The 18,090-nt window shown below is 42.7% G+C and overlaps 2 protein-coding genes and 1 long non-coding RNA gene across 3 annotated transcripts in view, besides 3 other annotated features; 2 read left to right on the top strand and 1 right to left on the bottom strand.

The window, feature by feature from the left end:
- Nucleotides 1-6,069, top strand: part of SNX24 (sorting nexin 24) — a 183,706-nt gene extending 177,637 nt beyond the window's left edge. Inside the window, exon 5 of the mRNA XM_017009395.2 lies at nt 5,989-6,069. Coding sequence (XP_016864884.1) covers nt 5,989-6,033 — 45 coding nt within the window. The 3' untranslated portion in view covers nt 6,034-6,069. The remainder of the gene's footprint in view (nt 1-5,988) is intronic.
- Nucleotides 1-13,476, bottom strand: PPIC (peptidylprolyl isomerase C). Its single transcript, NM_000943.5, has 5 exons — nt 13,260-13,476; nt 6,056-6,169; nt 5,526-5,619; nt 2,535-2,719; nt 1-754 (listed from the first exon to the last, which is right to left on the bottom strand). The coding sequence occupies exons 1-5, from the start codon at nt 13,374-13,376 to the stop codon at nt 626-628; spliced, it is 639 nt and encodes a 212-aa protein (NP_000934.1). The 5' UTR covers nt 13,377-13,476; the 3' UTR covers nt 1-625.
- Nucleotides 5,113-6,312: an enhancer, noted in NCBI's record as "CDK7 strongly-dependent group 2 enhancer chr5:122364057-122365256 (GRCh37/hg19 assembly coordinates)". NCBI's record gives its function as "activates an origin of replication core promoter dependent on BRD2, BRD4, P300/CBP, MED14 and CDK7 cofactors, with strong dependence on CDK7, by STARR-seq in HCT116 cells {active_cell/tissue: HCT116}" and the evidence as "EXISTENCE:reporter gene assay evidence [ECO:0000049][PMID:35650434]".
- Nucleotides 12,172-12,344: a silencer, noted in NCBI's record as "fragment chr5:122371116-122371288 (GRCh37/hg19 assembly coordinates)". NCBI's record gives its function as "represses an EF-1alpha promoter that drives an FKBP-Casp9 reporter gene in an ReSE screen in HepG2 liver carcinoma cells {active_cell/tissue: HepG2}" and the evidence as "EXISTENCE:reporter gene assay evidence [ECO:0000049][PMID:32094911]".
- The window catches only part of PPIC-AS1 (PPIC antisense RNA 1), a 20,849-nt gene continuing 15,431 nt past the window's right edge, over nt 12,673-18,090 (top strand). The window contains exon 1 of the long non-coding RNA XR_001742868.2: nt 12,673-13,039. This is a non-coding gene — a long non-coding RNA (PPIC antisense RNA 1). The remainder of the gene's footprint in view (nt 13,040-18,090) is intronic.
- Nucleotides 13,653-13,702: a silencer, noted in NCBI's record as "silent region_16272". NCBI's record gives its function as "represses an Ori minimal core promoter by ATAC-STARR-seq in GM12878 lymphoblastoid cells {active_cell/tissue: GM12878}" and the evidence as "EXISTENCE:reporter gene assay evidence [ECO:0000049][PMID:35858748]".

The raw sequence follows: 18,090 nt of genomic DNA on the forward strand, positions 1-18,090 counted from the left end.
CTGAGTTATCTAATTATGTTTGTAGTTTGATTTATAAAATCTTTCTAATCTGTTCACTGTTAATGCTAGAGTGTGTGTATTTTTGTATATTTCTTAAAGAACTTTACATTTTTAAAAAGTCTTGCAAAAAGAGTTGATCTAAAAGTATTTAATATAAAGAACAGCAAAGCACCCTTTTGTCAGAAAGAAATCCCTATGACATATCTCAGATTACACTAGTCAAATTTCCCTTTATCTGAATTTCTGTTTGGATACAAAATAATAATATCCTCATCTGTTTCAGATAAATGTTCAGCATTACCCAATATGGGGATCATAATGAATTCAGAAAAAAAATATTGCATTAAAAAAATAGCCAATTCAAAGTTTTTTTTAGTTTTAAAATAGCACCACTTGAGGAAGGGGATATATTTAAGTTCAAAGTCCCTAAGCAGGTGGTTTACTAAAGTTCAAGCAAACTAAAGGGTGACGGTTTGATTTTTATAACTTTCCTGTGATCTGGGATAGAATACAAAAAGAAAGTAAAAAAAAAAAAGCAAATAATTGAAAGACAACACAACACACACACACACACACACACACACACACCCCTGCCAAAGCATATCCTTGTTTTCTGCCAGTTGTGTCACCAATCAGCGATCTCAACCACAAAAGGCGTTTTCACGTCTATCTTGCCACTGTTGATGATCGAGCAGTTGGTGAGTGGACGGTCATGCCCATCAGTTGCTTGGAGCTCTATGGAGTGCACCACTGTCTGGTGAGAGAAAAGTAGACACATGGTTTAATTCTGACCAGCAGCTATAGCAATCCAAAGGTTAAACCAAAGCCAACTCCAAAAGCCCAAGTGGGAAGGAAATAAGGTTGGTTGGTTGGTTGGTTTTTTATGACTACTAAGCGTTTTTTATGCACGCTAACTGTGGAAAACTTAGAATATTTAGAAAATATATACATCACATAATAAAATTCACCCATGACCTTCTTACTCAGAGACCACACTGGTATATTTCCTCACTTCTTTTTAAATAAGCATTTTATATTCTAAAAAAGTAGATATTTTTGTAAACACCCAGCTCTAGTAAAAGGCATTTCCATTCACCTGGTATAAGCCAGCGTAACAGTTAACATGAAGTCTGAGTCAGTTTCAGCTCCATCCTGTAATAGGTCTTCACATGTATGGGCCAGAAAGCAGATTCAGAAATGGACCTAGTTCTAGGTTTGTCCATTTTAAAGGTGACCCAAGCCATTAACCTATAAGTTGAGCCCAATACTAATGTAACCCCAGCCCCCCACAGTGCTGTGAAGGCACCTTTCTCTACCCTGGAAGGCTTCACAAGCCCAACAGTACAGTATTTCACACTGAAGTAGGTTAGGACTGGGCAAGGAACAAGAAAGTAGGTTTTTGGTGGGTTTCCCAGACAGCATTGAGGCTACTAGCTCAGTTCCCAAACTTGTGTTAGATAGAATCAGAAAAACAGGTAGTTGTGAAGGAACTGCAGCGAGCAAGACTGGTTTATTTACATTTGGATGAGGGAGGTAGAATAAGTCACATGAAAACAAAATAAAATGAAACATGGAAGAGGGAAAGGGAGACAAGGATGGTCCAGGCCTGGGATGGACAGACTTTACAGTAACCAGTTTAGGAGCTGAGAGAGCTACTTCAGGCACCTGTAAGGCAGAAATATTGAGAAAGAAAGGGAATGAGGGTTTTAAGAAGTGTTCCTACGGGTTGTGAATTGGACTGCTTTGACATTCTTTGAGACCCAACAGTATAGATTCAAATTCTCTTCAATAATTTTTGGATGCGTGTCTCTGTGAATGTGACCTAGGTGTCTGAGCTGAACCAGATGGGATTCTGGGGTGGTTTTGTTTTGCTTTGTTTTCAACTATTTTATTTTTAATTCTGGTAAGAAATACATAACATAAAATGTGCCATCTTACTCATTTGTAAGTGCACAGTGCAGTGGTGTTGAGTATATTTACATTGTTGTGCAACCAATAGCCAGAATTTTTCATCTTGCAAAACTAAAACCTTATACCTATTAAATACAACATCCCATTTACCCCATCCCCAGCCCCTGGCAACTACCATTCTACTTTCTGTTTCTATCAATGTGACCACTTTAGATATTTTATATAAATGAAGTCATATAGTATTTGTCTTCCTACGACTGGTTTATTTCACTTAGCATAATGTCCTCAGAATGTCTTTCCTTTTGGAGACTGAATAATATTCCATTGTGTGTATATATGGGGTCCTGGTATATATTGGTTCCATTAAAAAGGGCTTTACATTTATATCAAGTAGTAAAATAAATCAACTTAGTCCTTAATTTCTCCTTGTCAAGTCCCTAGCTGCTGCGCCAATGACCCTAAGAATTAAAATGCCATACCATATATAATTTATTCACCTTTGAAGAGGCCAGTCAGCTATATAATGGATCTCTAACAAGCATATTTTAAGATTAAAATAAATCACTGAAAGTACTCTCAATAAAAATATAAAGCTTTGAAAGGAAAAAAATGTATCAATTTACCATCCCATCAATGACTTTTCCAAACACCACATGTTTGCCGTCCAACCAGGTGGGCTTGGTCAAGGTGATAAAGAACTGAGAGCCATTGGTGTCAGGCCCAGCGTTGGCCATGCTGACCCACCCAATGCCATAGTGCTTCAGCTTGAAGTTCTCATCTGGAAATGTCTCACCATAGATGCTCACACCTGAGACAAAACAAGGAAGAAAGTCAACAGATGTCTTCCAAAAGTCAGCTCTTCAAAGGGAAACATAAGGCCTTAGAGGAATCAATTACTAGAACCCTATAGGAGGTAGGGATGGGGAAGACATGTTCAAACATAAGCAGACATGAAGGAGGGAATAAAATTAACTCCTTAAGGGAACAGGGCACTAGGGCCTAAAATGAACAAAGAAAGCCTTAAATATGGCACAGGATAGTGGGATACTCTCTGGCCTCATACCAAGGGCCAAACCTTGATCAAGCAGGTCCATGACTTCGCTCTGAAGTGAGAAGGAACTGAAGGGCAGGAAAACATCCTAAAGCCAGATGAAAAGGTGTTTGAGCCATCCTAGTGGCTGTGCACCTGTTTCCTGAGGCTCAAAGCTCAGGACAGTCCTGTGACTTATCCAGGATTGGGTGTTACTCAGCACCCAACCAGGATGCACCAAGCATTCAATATATACCCACACCGAATTCTCATAACAACCCTGAAGAGTAGGTATTCTCCGTCCTATTTTACAATGGGAAACAGAGGTTACAAAACTTGAAAATAGCAGAGCAGAATTTGAACATCTGACTTTCTGATTCTAAAGCTGGTGCTTTTTCTTGCCTCAGCACCAAGAGCAATAGCAGCTGATCTGGAAGTTGTTGGTCACAGCAACTTCAGGACCCATCAGGACACAGAGGATGATGACAATTGGGAGCACCCAGTGGTCAACCTTGAACAGGAGAACCAAAGCAAGGCAGGAAGTCTGGAGTTCTAGCAAAGCGGCAGGCAGAGTGGAAGACCTTTCTCCACAGACCATAAGAAGGATCTGACCATCCTCCAATACCTCAAGGGTCTACCAGGCCCACCTCCCCTTCTGTAGGGCCCCTTATCTATCAGTTGCCAACTTCAAAATTCTGATTCAGTTAGAAAACCCAGAAGTAGGCTGGGTGCAGTGGCTCACACCTGTAATCCCAGCACTTTGGGAGGCTGAGGCGGGCAGATCGCAAGGCCAGGAGATTGAGACCATCCTGGCTAACACGGTGAAACCCTATCTCTACTAAAAATACAAAAAATCAGCCGGGCATGGTGGCGGGCGCCTGCAATCCCAGCTACTTGGGAGTCTGAGGCAGGAGAATCGCTTGAACCTGGGAGGCAGAGGTTGTAGTGAGCCAAGATCATGCCATTGCACTCCAGCCTGGGTGACAGAGTGAGACTGTGTCTCAAAAGAAAAAAAAAGCCCAGAAGTGGATATCAAAGCCAAGCAATTTATAACTGGTTGGTCAGTGACACTTGAAGTGGCCTTGTAGGAGAGTGCTCCTACAGAAGGGTCTACACTATATTTAAATTGCCCAAAACATTGTCTGTCCAAAATTCAGAGAATTTTAATGCAAGATGCACACTGGGCAGGGAAGGTAGTGAGAAAAAAAAGGTAGCAGAAAAGAGGGCAGAGTGAAGCTCAGTCACCATTCCTGCCAGCACCATTCCTATGGCAGGAAGGTGGGATGCCAGCACCGAGGGCACGGGCACCAGCGCTGCAGGGTTTTCCAATGAGATCCACGAGCGTCCTCAGCAAATCCCATTGCCTGGGGCAACCTAAATGCCTTCCTCCACTCCAGTCTACATCCCCATACCCCTCAGCATTCTTGCAAGAACTAGAAGTAATCTTCACAAAGTGCCTGGCAAATCAAAGCACTTAATAGTAGCCATTTTTGGTTATAAACAAACCATTGCAATAAACATAAAATTAGAAATAGTGCTTGAAAATGGCCTGTTGCTTTAAAAATGGACAACAAATATCCACCGAAACCAGTATTTGTTGAATTAAAAATCTTAAATCTAAAGTAAATTTAAATTATTTGGAGTTACATATATGGTGTATGTTCAAGAAAAGAACTAAACTTTTAAGAGAAAACAGTGTATGGAGCTGGATAGCTATAATCCTGAATGAGAAACAATAAGCTGAAGGAGATTTGAAACTCTCTAAATTTAACTATCTCTACTTTATTGAACTCCAACTTTGTTTGTAAGAGTTTGTTTCTATTACAATTTTGACAACTCAGCTATTGCTTTAACTTTAAAAAAGTATTGGTTCCCAGCTTTGTCCAAAGGACAGCAAATAGTAAGCTTGGGTCCTGACGAAACCACCACCCTGTAAACTCAGACACTGGATTCAGTCCTCCTGTTCCCAAGTTTCCCAAGTAGAACTCACTTTCTGTAACCCAACATTTTAGAACAGAAAAATGAAAACACATAGCCAGGAGTGTGAGTCACTTTTTTGCAGGTTAAATCTTAAAAGTTCTCTTGGACTTGTTTTTCACTGTTTTGTCAATATGATGAAAGATTTTGAAAGAAGGAGGAAAGTGCGCTGTGACCCTGCTGCTAACTCTAGTCTCAATCTCCTGGCATGAGGCCCGTCTTCCTCCTGCAACGCCCACCTCTGCCGCACGCTGCCATCCCAGGGGAACGCAGCTTCATGTTCCACACCTTTTCCTTCCTATGAAAGATATTTTTCTGTATGGCTACTGACTAGTAGTCTGGTATTTTAATAACTGCAAAATGAATACATCTCAATTACGGAAAGACAATAAACACCAAAACAATCCTGCTTAAAATAAGGACGCCTCCCTCATACCTGTCGAGATGCTGCTAGATGAGTCCCCAAAACTCCATCCTTCTCAAAGAGGTACAGTCGTCTTTACAACTGTGTTCCTTAGCTCTGGATTTCAACAGACTGGGTTCATATACTGGCTTAACCTTAGATTTCGGTTTGGTAAATGGGAAAGGAAAAATGCAAAGACGTTACCCCCAGTGCCATCTCCAGTGGTGATGTCACCTCCTTGAATCATGAAATCCTTGATGACACGATGAAACTTGCTTCCTTTATATCCATATCCTTTCTAAAGAGATTACTTCAGTTGAATAACAAGTAACAGAGGCCATACTGAAAGATAAACTCAGTGTTGATCTAGAAAGGACAAACTGAGAAAATTAAACAAAATGCCTACAGAACTTGATTCTATCCCAGCTATGGTTTACTGAGAGAAATTTATCATTAGCTGACCAAAAAATAAATATGTTATGGAAGTAGAGTATTAATGTGAATAAGTTAAAAGAGAGCAAACCATATTTTCACTTGATGATGATTTTCTCCCAATTTCCAGAAGCCTAAGGGCACTGAGTGCCCAAATAATACATATTTAATTGGAAAATAAAGTCAAATGTGGTAAGGTTCATCTGACATACTAATTTAATACTTATTTTCTCAGATGACATCTTTATATTTGGCTTCAAAGAAAGAAGACCCAATTTAAAGGAAATAAAATTGAGACATACCTCTCCTGTTGCTAGAGCAACAAAATTTTCCACTGTCTTGGGCACAACTTTTCCAAAGAGGCCAATCACAATTCTGCCAACATCTTTGTCTCCAATCCTCACATCAAAGAAGACCTGTGTGCAGTTGAAAGGCAAAGTGGAAGGTTATAAGGTGGAAAAGCACAAATACAAGGTAAGTCAAAATTAAAATCTGAGAATTGACCCACATACAAAAGCCCTGCCCATCAGTATTTTGTAAAGGAGCATGACATCAATTAAAGGTACTTTAAAACTATTGTGTGGGTGCATTTCACTCACAAATATTCTTTCAAGAAACATTTATTAAGCACCACCCATGGGCCAGGCACTGTACCAGGTATTGAGTTTAAAGGCTGACTCAACTCTGTCAGTGTTGGCCAATGAAGTCTTCAATAATTCTTCTCTTCCCATACCCCAGACAAACGCTGCTGCTACTTCCCATTTCCTGGCTTTATGGATGAAGAGTAGAATGGAAAATATTGCTCTCTTAGAAAGTAATGCTCTCTAATCTTGGCAGGACAAAAGAAAAAAGTTGTGAGGAAACAGGCTAACCATCAAAATTTATTTTTTTAAATTTCAAACAGTCCTAAATTTGCAATGAGTTCTCAATAGATGTCTGCCATCCAGGAGATGGCAAAAATGATGAAACACAGCAGTCCTTCAAAAGGCCTGCCACTCATGTCCAAGCACAATAAAGCACCAGGTCCCCAGCTTTCCAAAGGACAGCAAACATTAAGCGTGGGTCATCACGCTGACAAAGCCGTCACCCTGTAAACTCAGACACTGAATTCAGTCCTCTTGTTCCCAAGTTACCCAAGTAGAATTTGCTTTTCCTAACCCAACATTTTACAACAGGAAAAAGAAGACACATAGCCAGGAGTGAGTGTGAATCCACCTTTTGCAGGTAAAACCATAAAAGTTCTCTTGGACTTGTTTTTAACTGTCTCATCTGAAACAAAATTATATGCATTTTGCTTCACAAATCACTGTGTTAAGATGATTCTGAAATAGAACGCTTGAAAAGGCCACAGAGTCAAAGGGCATTCTATTAGCGCGTTTAGATTATATGAACCAATTTACTGTTTGAATGGGTAAAAAAGACATTCAAGAGATGGCTTTAAAAAATATAAGAACGGTTGTCAAAGAAAAAAGATGTCTTACAGTTTAGAAAAATCAGTAAGTAAAGACTGTCAAGCTTCAGTTCAAGTCAAGAGCTTCTGCCAATACATCAGTACATCTGTCACAGGGTGATGTGATATTTAGTGTTCCATGTGGCATTTTACAATTTTTACATGGCCAAAGCAGCAAAACTTTTATTATTACTTATATAGAAGAGCTTTATAGAATGCATGAGAAGGGGCAGTGTATTAAAGGAGTGCAATTCAGCATGGCTTGGGATAGGAAGGTGCTTCAACACACCCATGGGCCTGGTCAGTGCAGAGCCGGCTTACAAGAGAAGCAGTTTCTCCAAAGGGATTTGCAAGCCAAGGTGTAAATTCAATAACCAGCAATAACGAAGCAGCACCCGGAAGCCAGAGATGAAACCTTAAAGAAACATCATACGAGACACTAGAAGAGCCTTCCAGACTTTTAAAATAAAGAAGAGAAAACAAAGCCTGTGAATGTTTAGGAAGGGAATAAGATCTGGGAGAGCAGCATGAGCAGATGAAGAAAAAGTACCTGTCACCCAACATAACTCTTCAGCAAAAATCACATATTTTTACACACAGCCTAGCACACATATTATTATAATTTTTTTCCCCAAATTGAAATATCCTTCAGCTTCATGAGTGAGCATAAGAACACACAGCAGGTTTTGCCAACTCTACTGGAAAGGATAAAATCCAATCTCATTTTGTCAATAAGTATTTATGCAAGGTTATGTAAAAGGCAATGTGAGGGCACAAACTGTATAAGAGAGTCCCTGTCCTAAGGCAGTTTAAAATAAAGAGATAGGATAGGCAAACCCATAACCACAGTACAGGGCAGTGTGTGACAAATGCCCCCCAAACACTGTATGCCCAGGCCTGCAGGAACGGTGAGGCTAAGGAGGAAGGCTTGAAGGGAGGCAGGCCTGGGAGGAGGGGAGCCATCTCCCCAAACAAGGATGGGGGTGAGCCTTGCCTGGCAGACTTCTTTCTGGAACCAATGCACCTAGGCAGGAAATGTGACCTGTGTGCAGAGAAGCAAAGCTGCCCTTCTGACCACAACTAGGGGTTAGAGTGGGTGGGGGGCCAGGAAAGAAGCTGCCCACCAGTTCCAGAAGGCAGAGGAGAGATGCTGACGTAAGCATGAGTTTTGTTAGGCAAAAGAGAGAAGACAAAGAATAAGGTCAAGCGAGGCTCTGGGAATGTTACTCAAACGGAGAGAAAGAGAATCTGGGGCTCTTATACCAGTTGAAGAATAAGGTCATAATGGCCTGCACTGGGGTGGTGGCAGAAGGAAATGTACGAGGGAGACAGAAAAGGCATTTATTTATTTACTTATTTACTGAGACAGAATCTCATTCTGTCGTCTAGGCTGGAGTGCAGTGGCACAATCTTGGCTCACTGCAACCCCTGCCTCCCAGGTTCAAGTGACTCTTGTGCCTCAGCCTCCAGAGTAGCTGGGATTACAGGTGTGTACCACCACACCTGGCTAATTTTTGTATTTTTACTAGAGACGGGGTTTCGCCATATTGGCCAGGCTGGTCTCGAACTCCTGACCGTAAGTGATCCGCCCATCTTGGCCTCCCAAAGTGCTGGGATTACAGGCATGAGCCACAGCGCCCAGCCAGGAGAGGCGTTTAAACAAAGGGGCAGACACTGGAGGAGGAGCAGGAAGAAAGAGGGAAGGAAGCAAACATGACTTAGTGGTGGTCTCAGTGTGGGTAACCCACATCATCTTATATAATTCATCCTCACCACACTGGGAAAGGTGGGACAGGAACTATTATCACTAATTTACAAATGAGAAAAGTGGGAATTAGGGAGGTTAAGTGATTTACCAAGGTTTCCCTACTATGAGTGTGAGAGCCAGAATTTCAAGGCTGCCTCTAGCTAAACTGGTTTATTGTTAATAGGGCTCTCCGGGTCGAGCCAGGGAAACCCTAAGGAGTAGAAACAGTGTTTTTAGTTCCCCAGTGGCCAGCTAAAGGTCAGCAGGAGGAGGCAGTCAAGAAATGTTAAAAGATTCAATGTCAAATGATACTCAAGGAGGACCTGGGCACACACATTCCTAGACAGGAGGTGAGACAGCTGCCAGCAAACACTCTCACTCTAAACCCTCTCACCACTGGATTCATCTCTGATGTTGCTGAGTGCCTCTGGGAACAAAACCCAGTGCTGGGCCAGGGGTGGGGTGGGGCTACAAAGCTCCTACCCTCAAGGAGCTTCAGTCCAACAGAAAACACATATATGAATGCTATAATATAATGAGAAGTCAGATTTTATAAGACAAGTACAGATAAGGTGTCATGGTAAGGGGTGGTGATTATCTGTGGAGATAAGTGTGGGCTTCCTGGGAAAGGTGATATTGGATTCCATGCTAGACTTTGGGGTGAGCACCTCAGTCACTTGTTTTTTCCCTCAAGGCTGCCCTTGAAAGTCATTTGAAAATTACTCGGCATTGGAGATGGGAGGAGGTAGAGGAAGAGGGAGGAGGCACTTACACAGCCTGACCCAAACCCCTGTGGAATTAATCCTGATTCCATTTCCAAAGTAACTAGGGAACACACCCAGTACATGAGCTGCGATGTGGAAGAAACTGTTCTCAAATGCAGCTCCACCACTCAATGGCCATGGAAACTTCAGCAAGTTAATTAAACTCTGAACTCCCTTTCTTCATCTGTAAAATAAATGATGATTCCTTTCAGGTCTGCTCTGTCACAGTAGGATTAAGAAGATAAACACAAATAACACTAACAAGTGACTTCTGAAATCAGGGACTATGGACTATGTGCTTTACCTGCTGCTATGGTTTGGATATTTGATCCTAATGTTGGAGGTGGGGCCTAATGCGAGGTGTTTGAGTCATGGGTGTAGATCCCTCATGAATGGCTTGGTGCCATCTCAGTAGTGAATGGGTTCTCACTTTGTTAGTTCCCATGAGAACTGGTTTTAAAAGGAAGCTGGCACCACCCCCTTCAGCTTCCTCTCTCTCCACGTGATCTGCACCTGCCTGCTCCCTATCACCTTCCGCCGCCGTGACTGGAAGCAGCCTGAGGCTGTCACCAGATGCCCAGTCTTGAATCTTACAGCTCATAGCAGAGCCGTGAGCTAAATAAACCTTTTTTCTTCATAAATTGCCCAGCCTCAAGTATTCTTTTATAGCAACATAAATGGACTAAGACATCTGCTTTACCACATCTAATGTGCAAAGCCCTCCCAGGTAGGGATGATTTCTATCTCCATTTGACAAAGGAGGAAACTGAGCTGTGGACATTAGATAACTTGTCTAAGGCCATCTAGCCACAGCCTCCTGGCCACTACATGCTAATGTGCTTGCAAGCTGTAATATGTGTGCAGCTGGAAGGATGGTGGCATTATTTCATACACTCCCGATGCCGGATCCTGCACAGATCCCATGGCATTGGTTCAGAAATATAGGTCAGCAAATGTAATTCTGTGGATTTGGAGCCCAATGAGCCAGAGCCCCCACCTGAGCCTCTATGGCTGGGGCAGGAAGCTGCCAGGCTGGCCCAGCAGCAGGATCTGTGGACCAAGTTAGTGCCACTAATGGGCCATGTGGGCAGAATAGCACCTCACACCTCTCTTATTTACAGATTCCTATTTTTAAATGAAATCAGAGGTAAACAAAAACACTGCTGGGGAAAACAATACACTAGAGCAATGGCCAATTAATGTACTTGTCTGCACTCAGAGAAATTATTTTTAACGTCATTTTCCAATAGATTTAGTTGTCTTTACAAGTTCATGAAAAAGTAATTTAACAGAGCAGAATCTGTTTAAGACGCACCTACACAATCAGCTTTTAGAAAAACTTAATGACAAATTTGGTAGGGGGAAAAAAGACATGTTAAGTAACAATTCTGAGAGTAGGGTGCATGCAAACTCTCCCTCAGTGACAGTGTCACAGACAAGGGTTTAGGATGCTCAAACCCTTCCCCTCCTGCAGCCACCAGCTTCCTCCTCTCTTGGCTCCATCTTCCAGTGGTTCCCCGCCCACACTGCCTGCACATCAGAATCACCAAAAGCTTCTAAAAGATAGGATACTGAGCCCCACCCATACAGATTGTGATTGACTTGCTCTGGGGTGGGTCACTGCATCAGTAAGTTTAAGAAGTTTCCCAGGTGAAACCTGTTCCCAAATATTGCAGGGGACGTACTTACACTAAAAACATTTATTCATTGTTAATCTGATATTCACATCTAACTGGGCATCCTGTATTTTATTTGGCAATCCTATTCCCTCTCCCTCGCCCCCTTTCTAAACCGTCAGCAACTCCTGTTAGTTATATCTCCAAAATCTATTTCAAGTCCTTCCCTTGCTCCCCATTTCAATGATTACCACCCTAATCCAAGCCACCATCTGGACTCTGGCATGGTGCCCTGAATGACCTCCCATTTCACTCTCCACTGAGTGACCACATAAATTTCTCGAGTATATATTGAGATCATGCCATTCTTATGCTTAAAACCCTTCAGTGGCTCTGACTGCAGAATAACACTTCAAATTTTAAGAATTGCCTCAATACCCGCATGCCTACCTGCAGCCTCTAAGGCCCTGTGTGATTCCGCTGCTGCTCACCCCTCCAACCTCATCTCAAGTCACCTCTCATTCTGTGCTGAAGCCATTCCGTCCTCTCCACATCCTCTGAATGCAGGGAGGGCTTTCCTGTTTGAGGACCTATGCATATGCAGTTCCCTTTGCCTCCTTAGTCTTCTCTGCGCTGGTTTTTCTCATTTTTCAGCTATTTTTAAATGTCACCCAAAGTATATTACAGTTTATTTCCTCCAACATTTCATAATTGTGCGAATTTTATGTTTATGGCTTTATCCCAAGAGACCCCGTTCAGCTCTGTGGCCTTGCACAAACCATTTCCCAAAGTTAGACATGCCTACAAGATCAAGAGGCTGGGAGTAAGATCAGAGCTTCTCGAAACCATCAGGCTGTTTATCAGCCCCGCCCACAACGTGGCACGGCCTTTCTGCGACATCAGATGCTGAGCTGGACCTCCTCCTCCCCACCCCCTAGTCCTCCCCGTCCTCAGGTGGCGTCTGCGGTCGAGGATGTAAGCATTCTACTCGTTGATTAGTATCGTTTCCATTGACAAACCCCAGACTGATGAAGACCACTTTCAGCTGCAGCCCGCCCCCTCCAGCTTCAGCTTCGAAGACACTATTGCCAGTGGGTTTTCTAGAAGTGGTGATCATGGGCACCAAATTATCCCCTCCCTCTCCCTGCATTCTCCCATTATCGTCTACCCTTGGTTAAATACGCTGAAAAAAGAACTGAAGCGGAGTTAAGTACGAGGAAGCCTTAAAGACGCACTTTCTGGCAGCCCCCCGCCCCCTTTCCCCGCAGTGGAGGCTGCCCCAGGTCTACAGGTGCCGCCTTCGCCCGGCCTCGCGTAGCCCACAGCAGGGGCCGCCCGCCCGCCGAAGTTGAAGGCGCACCTCCCCTTCCCGGGAAGGACGACGGTTCCCCAAAAGAGGCGGAGGGTAGTCTCTCATCTGAACCAGGCGCTTTAATGCCTGCCTGAAGCCACCGCGGCCAGCGTGGAGACCACGCAGCGGGCGGGCGGCTGCAAGCCCTGGGCTCCGAGCGCCTCTCCTGTGCGGGTCCCGCCCCCCTCCCCGCATTCCTCTCGTTCTGCTCCCGAGCCCAGGCCACGCTGAAGGAAGTACTTGGGCAGTCTCTTTCCTGGAGAACGGGCCCGCCGGTTCCGGAAGCCTCTCCTACCCCCAGGCTGGTCACCTCGGACTACCGACCCGGGACAAGAAGTCCAAGCAGACTGCGGCGGAGGTAGGCTGGCCTCAGCCCAGCTCCCCCAGGGTCTCCCCCGGAGCGCCGGCCTCCCAGCACGCGAGCAGCCCCCTCCCACCCAGTCCCGCGGCCGCCTCCAGTCCCCCTGCGCCCGGGAAGCCTCCACCTCGCCCGCCCTGACACCGAGGTCCCAGTATCCAAAGCGCCCCCAGGGCCCCGCCCGCAACAGGGGAAGTTGCAGCCCGCCGCTCTCGGTCACCTTGGCCGTCACCGAGGGGCCTCGCTTGCGGAAGCCCTCGGCCCCCGAAGAAAACACAAGTGCGCCGAGCCCCACGCAAAGCACGAGAGGTAGCAGCAGCCGAGGACCCGGGCCCATGGTGAGCGGTGGCAGCGGCGCTACCGGCACGGGCGCTACCGGCACGGGCGCGACACAGGCTCTGGGACAGCTGACGGGACTGCCGGCCGGCTGCGCCTGCGCGCTCCCGGTTGCGGGGGATGGGGATCGGGCAGTCCGGGAAGGGCGGGGACCCGGGGCGCGTTCCTCCCAAGTTCAGACTCGCGACCCGAACTTGGGATTCGGAGGAGCGCGCCCACAGGGCGCAGCCAGGGCTCGACCGCCGCGCCTTAGGCGGGTGCGGAGGGCGCCAGGGACGGGAGGGAGCCCGGGTTGCCCAGGCGCGGAGCCGGGCGCAGCGGGCTAGGCTGGGAGCACCTCCAGGAATTTACCGCGTAGGCGCGGATTAAACTTGGACGGGAAGACCAGGACTCTCGGGCTTCCGCGTCCGCCCGGCAGCTAGCGCTCCGCGGGACTGGGAACTCTGCAGCCGGTCCCGGTGTGATTGCTGCCGCCTTGGGAGCAGCCTCCGCCGCGGCCGCCGAGTTCCAATGGCCCATTGGAACCTTTTGCTAGGTTTTGGACGCTTAGCAGAACTTTGACATCGCTGGAGGCGTGGAGCCCTGTTGCACTCGAATAATGGCCTCTCTTTGAGATGATTCACGTCTAGGGAACACTGGAAAATGCTGGATTCACAGTGCCCCTTTGCCTTCGAAAAACTTTTACATTGGCTTTAAGTACTTTATTTGGAGGATGATTCTGTGATCTTATCTACACTGTTCACAAGGCAGCACTTACACAGGCCCAGAACCATGGTCATGTAGGATTCTTTCCTGGGGAAACAAAGTAAATAAACTGACTTTTAGGTGTATCTGTAGGATGGATTTTTTACAAACTTAAGAATTATGTTTAGGAAGATTAATGACTGGGGAAGTAAGTTCTTATTATATTTTTAAATGGAAAATTCGGGTTGCAAAACCACAAATTCTGATCTCAACCGTGAAAATAAATATATCAAGGCACTTAAATATTGAAAGAGATGTACCACAACGTTTACAGTAGCTATAGATAGAATTGATAGCTATTGATAGACTTATGGATTTTTGAGGGTTTAAAAAAATTTTTTTTACAGTTTTCTGATTTCCCAGATGTTCTACAATGAGCATATAAGTATTTTATAACATGGAAAGGGTTATTTTAAAACTCATTGCTTTTTGAATTAGAATTTCAAAAGAACTTTTTTGTTTTAGAGTAACAGCCCTAAAATTAACTAAAAATTAGTGGTATTCGCACATAGGTGCCATTTTAAGGGGCTGGTGCCATTACTTTCAAGCCAAGATTTTCCTCGGATTAAGAGATGGAATTTCTAAATGTCAGATGGGATTCCTAGGTGTACCTAAGTGTAGATCTAAAATGACATTGGAACCATTAGAGATAAAAGGAGTAACCACTACTTCTTTGGGGTGAGAAAAAGGAGAAATGCAATTCTGAGCTATTTTTATGATTCAGTCCAGTGAAAGACCTAATGGCTTTCCTCTTCATCCCCACCCCCAATAAGGAAAGAGTCCCCCTTGTGTAGCAAGACAAGGGTATCTCTCAGAGCACTTACCCTACGAGGTGACTGTGAGGTGATTGTATATATTTATCTGTGTTCATTAATTGTTTTTGTCTGTCTGCTATCAGAAGTAAGCAGGGCCAGGGCAGGGATCAGGCCTATATTTATTCCCCTTTGATGACCCAGATCTAGTGCAATGCCTGATATATAGTGATTTCTCAATAACTATTTGTTGAATGAATGAATGTGTCCAACTACTTTTTATGCTACCACCATCTCACCCTCTAGGCAAAGAAATGAAATCTTTCCCAGCTCCCTAGAAACTCCTCTTATACCCTCTGCCAGTTACAAACACTTTTTTCTGCCCAAATTAACTGCAATCCTGACTTTTCTTGTACTATAGTTTAATTTTGTTTTAATTTTATTTGAATAGGGTATTACCGTATGTATTTCTTTTTGCTTAAATTTTTGTGAAATTCATCTATATTTTTGCATATAACTATTTTGGTGGCTAATACAAAGTAGGAAGCAAATTCATTTTTTTCATAAGAATATTCATTTATTTCAGTACAGTTTATTGAAAATTCTCCCCTTTAACTCACCGCTCCATACTGTTCTTCTGTCACAGAGCAAGTGCCCATGTATGCATAGGTGTGTTTGTGGGCACCCTATCTGTCCCATTGGCCTATTTGTCTGTCTTTGTGCCAATACTACATTGTCTTCATTAAAATAGCTTTATAATAACTCTTCATATTCAGTAATACATACCCTCTTAGCTTTGTTCAACAAATTCTTGGCTGTTCTTGAGCTTTTCCATGTCCATATAACTTGAGAATCAGCCTGTCAGTTTCCACACACTGAGATTTTGATGGGGATTGCACTGCATCTGTAGACCATTTAAGACTTGGCAAATTTACAATATTGAGTCTTCTAATTCATGAACATAGCATATTTAAGTCTTCTTTGGTTTCTCTCAATAAGATTTTATAGCTTTCTGCCCAGAGGTCTTACACGTATTTTATTAGTTTGATTTCTAAGTGTTTTTTTATGCTATTGTCATGTATTGTAGTAAAATTAATTTATATATTAACTTTGTATATACCAACCTTGTTAAACATATTCTAATAATTTATCTGTGAATTGTTTAGGATTTTCTCCATAGACAATTATGTCATCCATGAATAATGACAGTTTTATTTCTTCTTTTCTAATCTTTACATTTTGTATTTCTTTTTTGGCCTTTTTACACTGGCTGGGATCTGCAGTACAAAAGGAAGTGGCAACAGTGGGAGTCCTTGTATTGTAGACTGAATTATCCTCCAAAAAGATATATTGAAGTCCTAAACCTTGGTATCTGTGAATGTGACCTTATTTGGACTGCCTTTGCAGACGTAATCAAGTTAAGATGAAATCATACTGGAGTAGGGTTTGCCCTACTCTAATATGACTTGTGTCCTCATAAAAAGGGAACAGACACAGACACACGCACAGAGAACACCATATGAGGATGGAGGCAGAGATTGGAGTGCTGTATCTACAAGACAAGGGATGCCAAAGATTGCTGGCAACCCCCAGAAGCTAGGAAGAGGCAAGGAAGGATTTGCCCCTAGAGCCTTCAAAGACAGCATGGCCTTGCCAACACCTTGATCTCAGCTGCTAGTTTCCAGAACTGTGAGACAATGCATTTCTCTTGTTTGAAGTCACCCAGTTTGTGGCACTTTGTTACAGCAGCCCTAGGGGGCTCATACACCTTGTCTTGGTCCCAGTGTCAGAGGGAAAGCTTCAGTGTTTCACCATTAGGCATGATATTTGCTGAAGGTCCTTTTGGGGGATATCTTTTTTCAGATTCAGAAAATTCCTTTCTAGTCCTTGTTTGCTAAGAGTTTTTAGCATATATTTGATTTAAATTTTATTAACATCATCTATTGAAATCAATTGAAATAATTATGTGATTCTCTTACTCTGTTAATGTGATGAATTGCATTGATTTTCAAATCTTAACCCAAGCTTACATTCTGGAATGTGTCCAACATGGATTATCCTTTTTATATATTACTAGATGTGGTTTGGCAATATCAGTTTATTAACAAAGTTGCCAAAAACTGAATATAGACTATCTTCTGAAGTTCAGGAAGAAAAGAGTGGGTAAAATGTGGCTCTGGCTGTCCAGCTGAGACTGAGTTCGTCACCCACATGTCATTTCAGTGTTAGTGGGTAAATCTGCTAATCTTATTTTCAGGATATTTGCATCTAAATTCTTGAATGAGACTAGCCTGAAATTTTCCTTTATTGGAGTTTCCTCTCAGCTTTTGTATTAGAGTTGTTCTGGCCTCTTAATATGAGTTGGCAAATGGTAGCTGTTTTTCCCCTACTCTTAAAGGGTTTGTGTAAGATTACCATTTCTTCCTTGAATGTTTCTTAGAAGCCATCTGAGCCTGGAGTTTTCTTTATTGTAACATTCTAAATTATATATTTAACTTTTAAAATAGTTGGAGATTATTCAAATTCTCTATTCTGTTCCTTTACTTGAAGTATTTTTCAAGGAATATATCCATTTTATTTATATTTTAAAATATTGTTTTATAAAGTTGTTTAAAACATTTTTTAATGATTTTGTAGGTCTGCGGGACCTGTAGTAATGTCTTCTTTTTCATTCCTGACATTGGTTGTTTCTTTTCTTGTTTTCCTTGAACAGTTTCACCAAGGAAGCTGATGAATCCAATATATTTTATCTTATTAATTTATGTTCTAACTTTATTATTTCCTTCTCTCTGCTTTCTTTGAGTTTAATTTACTGTTATTTTTCTGTCTTCTTGGATAGACTCTTAACTCATCAATTTTTAAAGCCCTTCCTTTTTTTATATAGTACTCTGTATACAGTTAAAATGATAAAGTTCCCCTTGCACTTCTTGAACGTTTTGATATGTCATATTTTCATTATTCTTTGAAAATAATTTCTAACTTATATTTTTATTTCTTTTTTGACCCATGTGTTATATAAAGGTATAGTACTTTATTTCCAAACATGATTTTTAAAAAATCCTTTTGTTAGTGATTTCTAACTTAGTTGTATTGTGGTCAGAGAACATATTCTGTATTATTTCATTCTTTTAAAATATGTAGAGACTTGCATTATCACATAGGATCTGAACAATTTATTTGATTCTGCCCTCGTTAGATATAGTATTCTACATATGTGTT

The sequence above is a fragment of the Homo sapiens genome, chromosome 5, assembly GCF_000001405.40.
Source record: "Homo sapiens chromosome 5, GRCh38.p14 Primary Assembly".
Classification (NCBI taxonomy): Eukaryota; Metazoa; Chordata; class Mammalia; order Primates; family Hominidae; genus Homo; species Homo sapiens.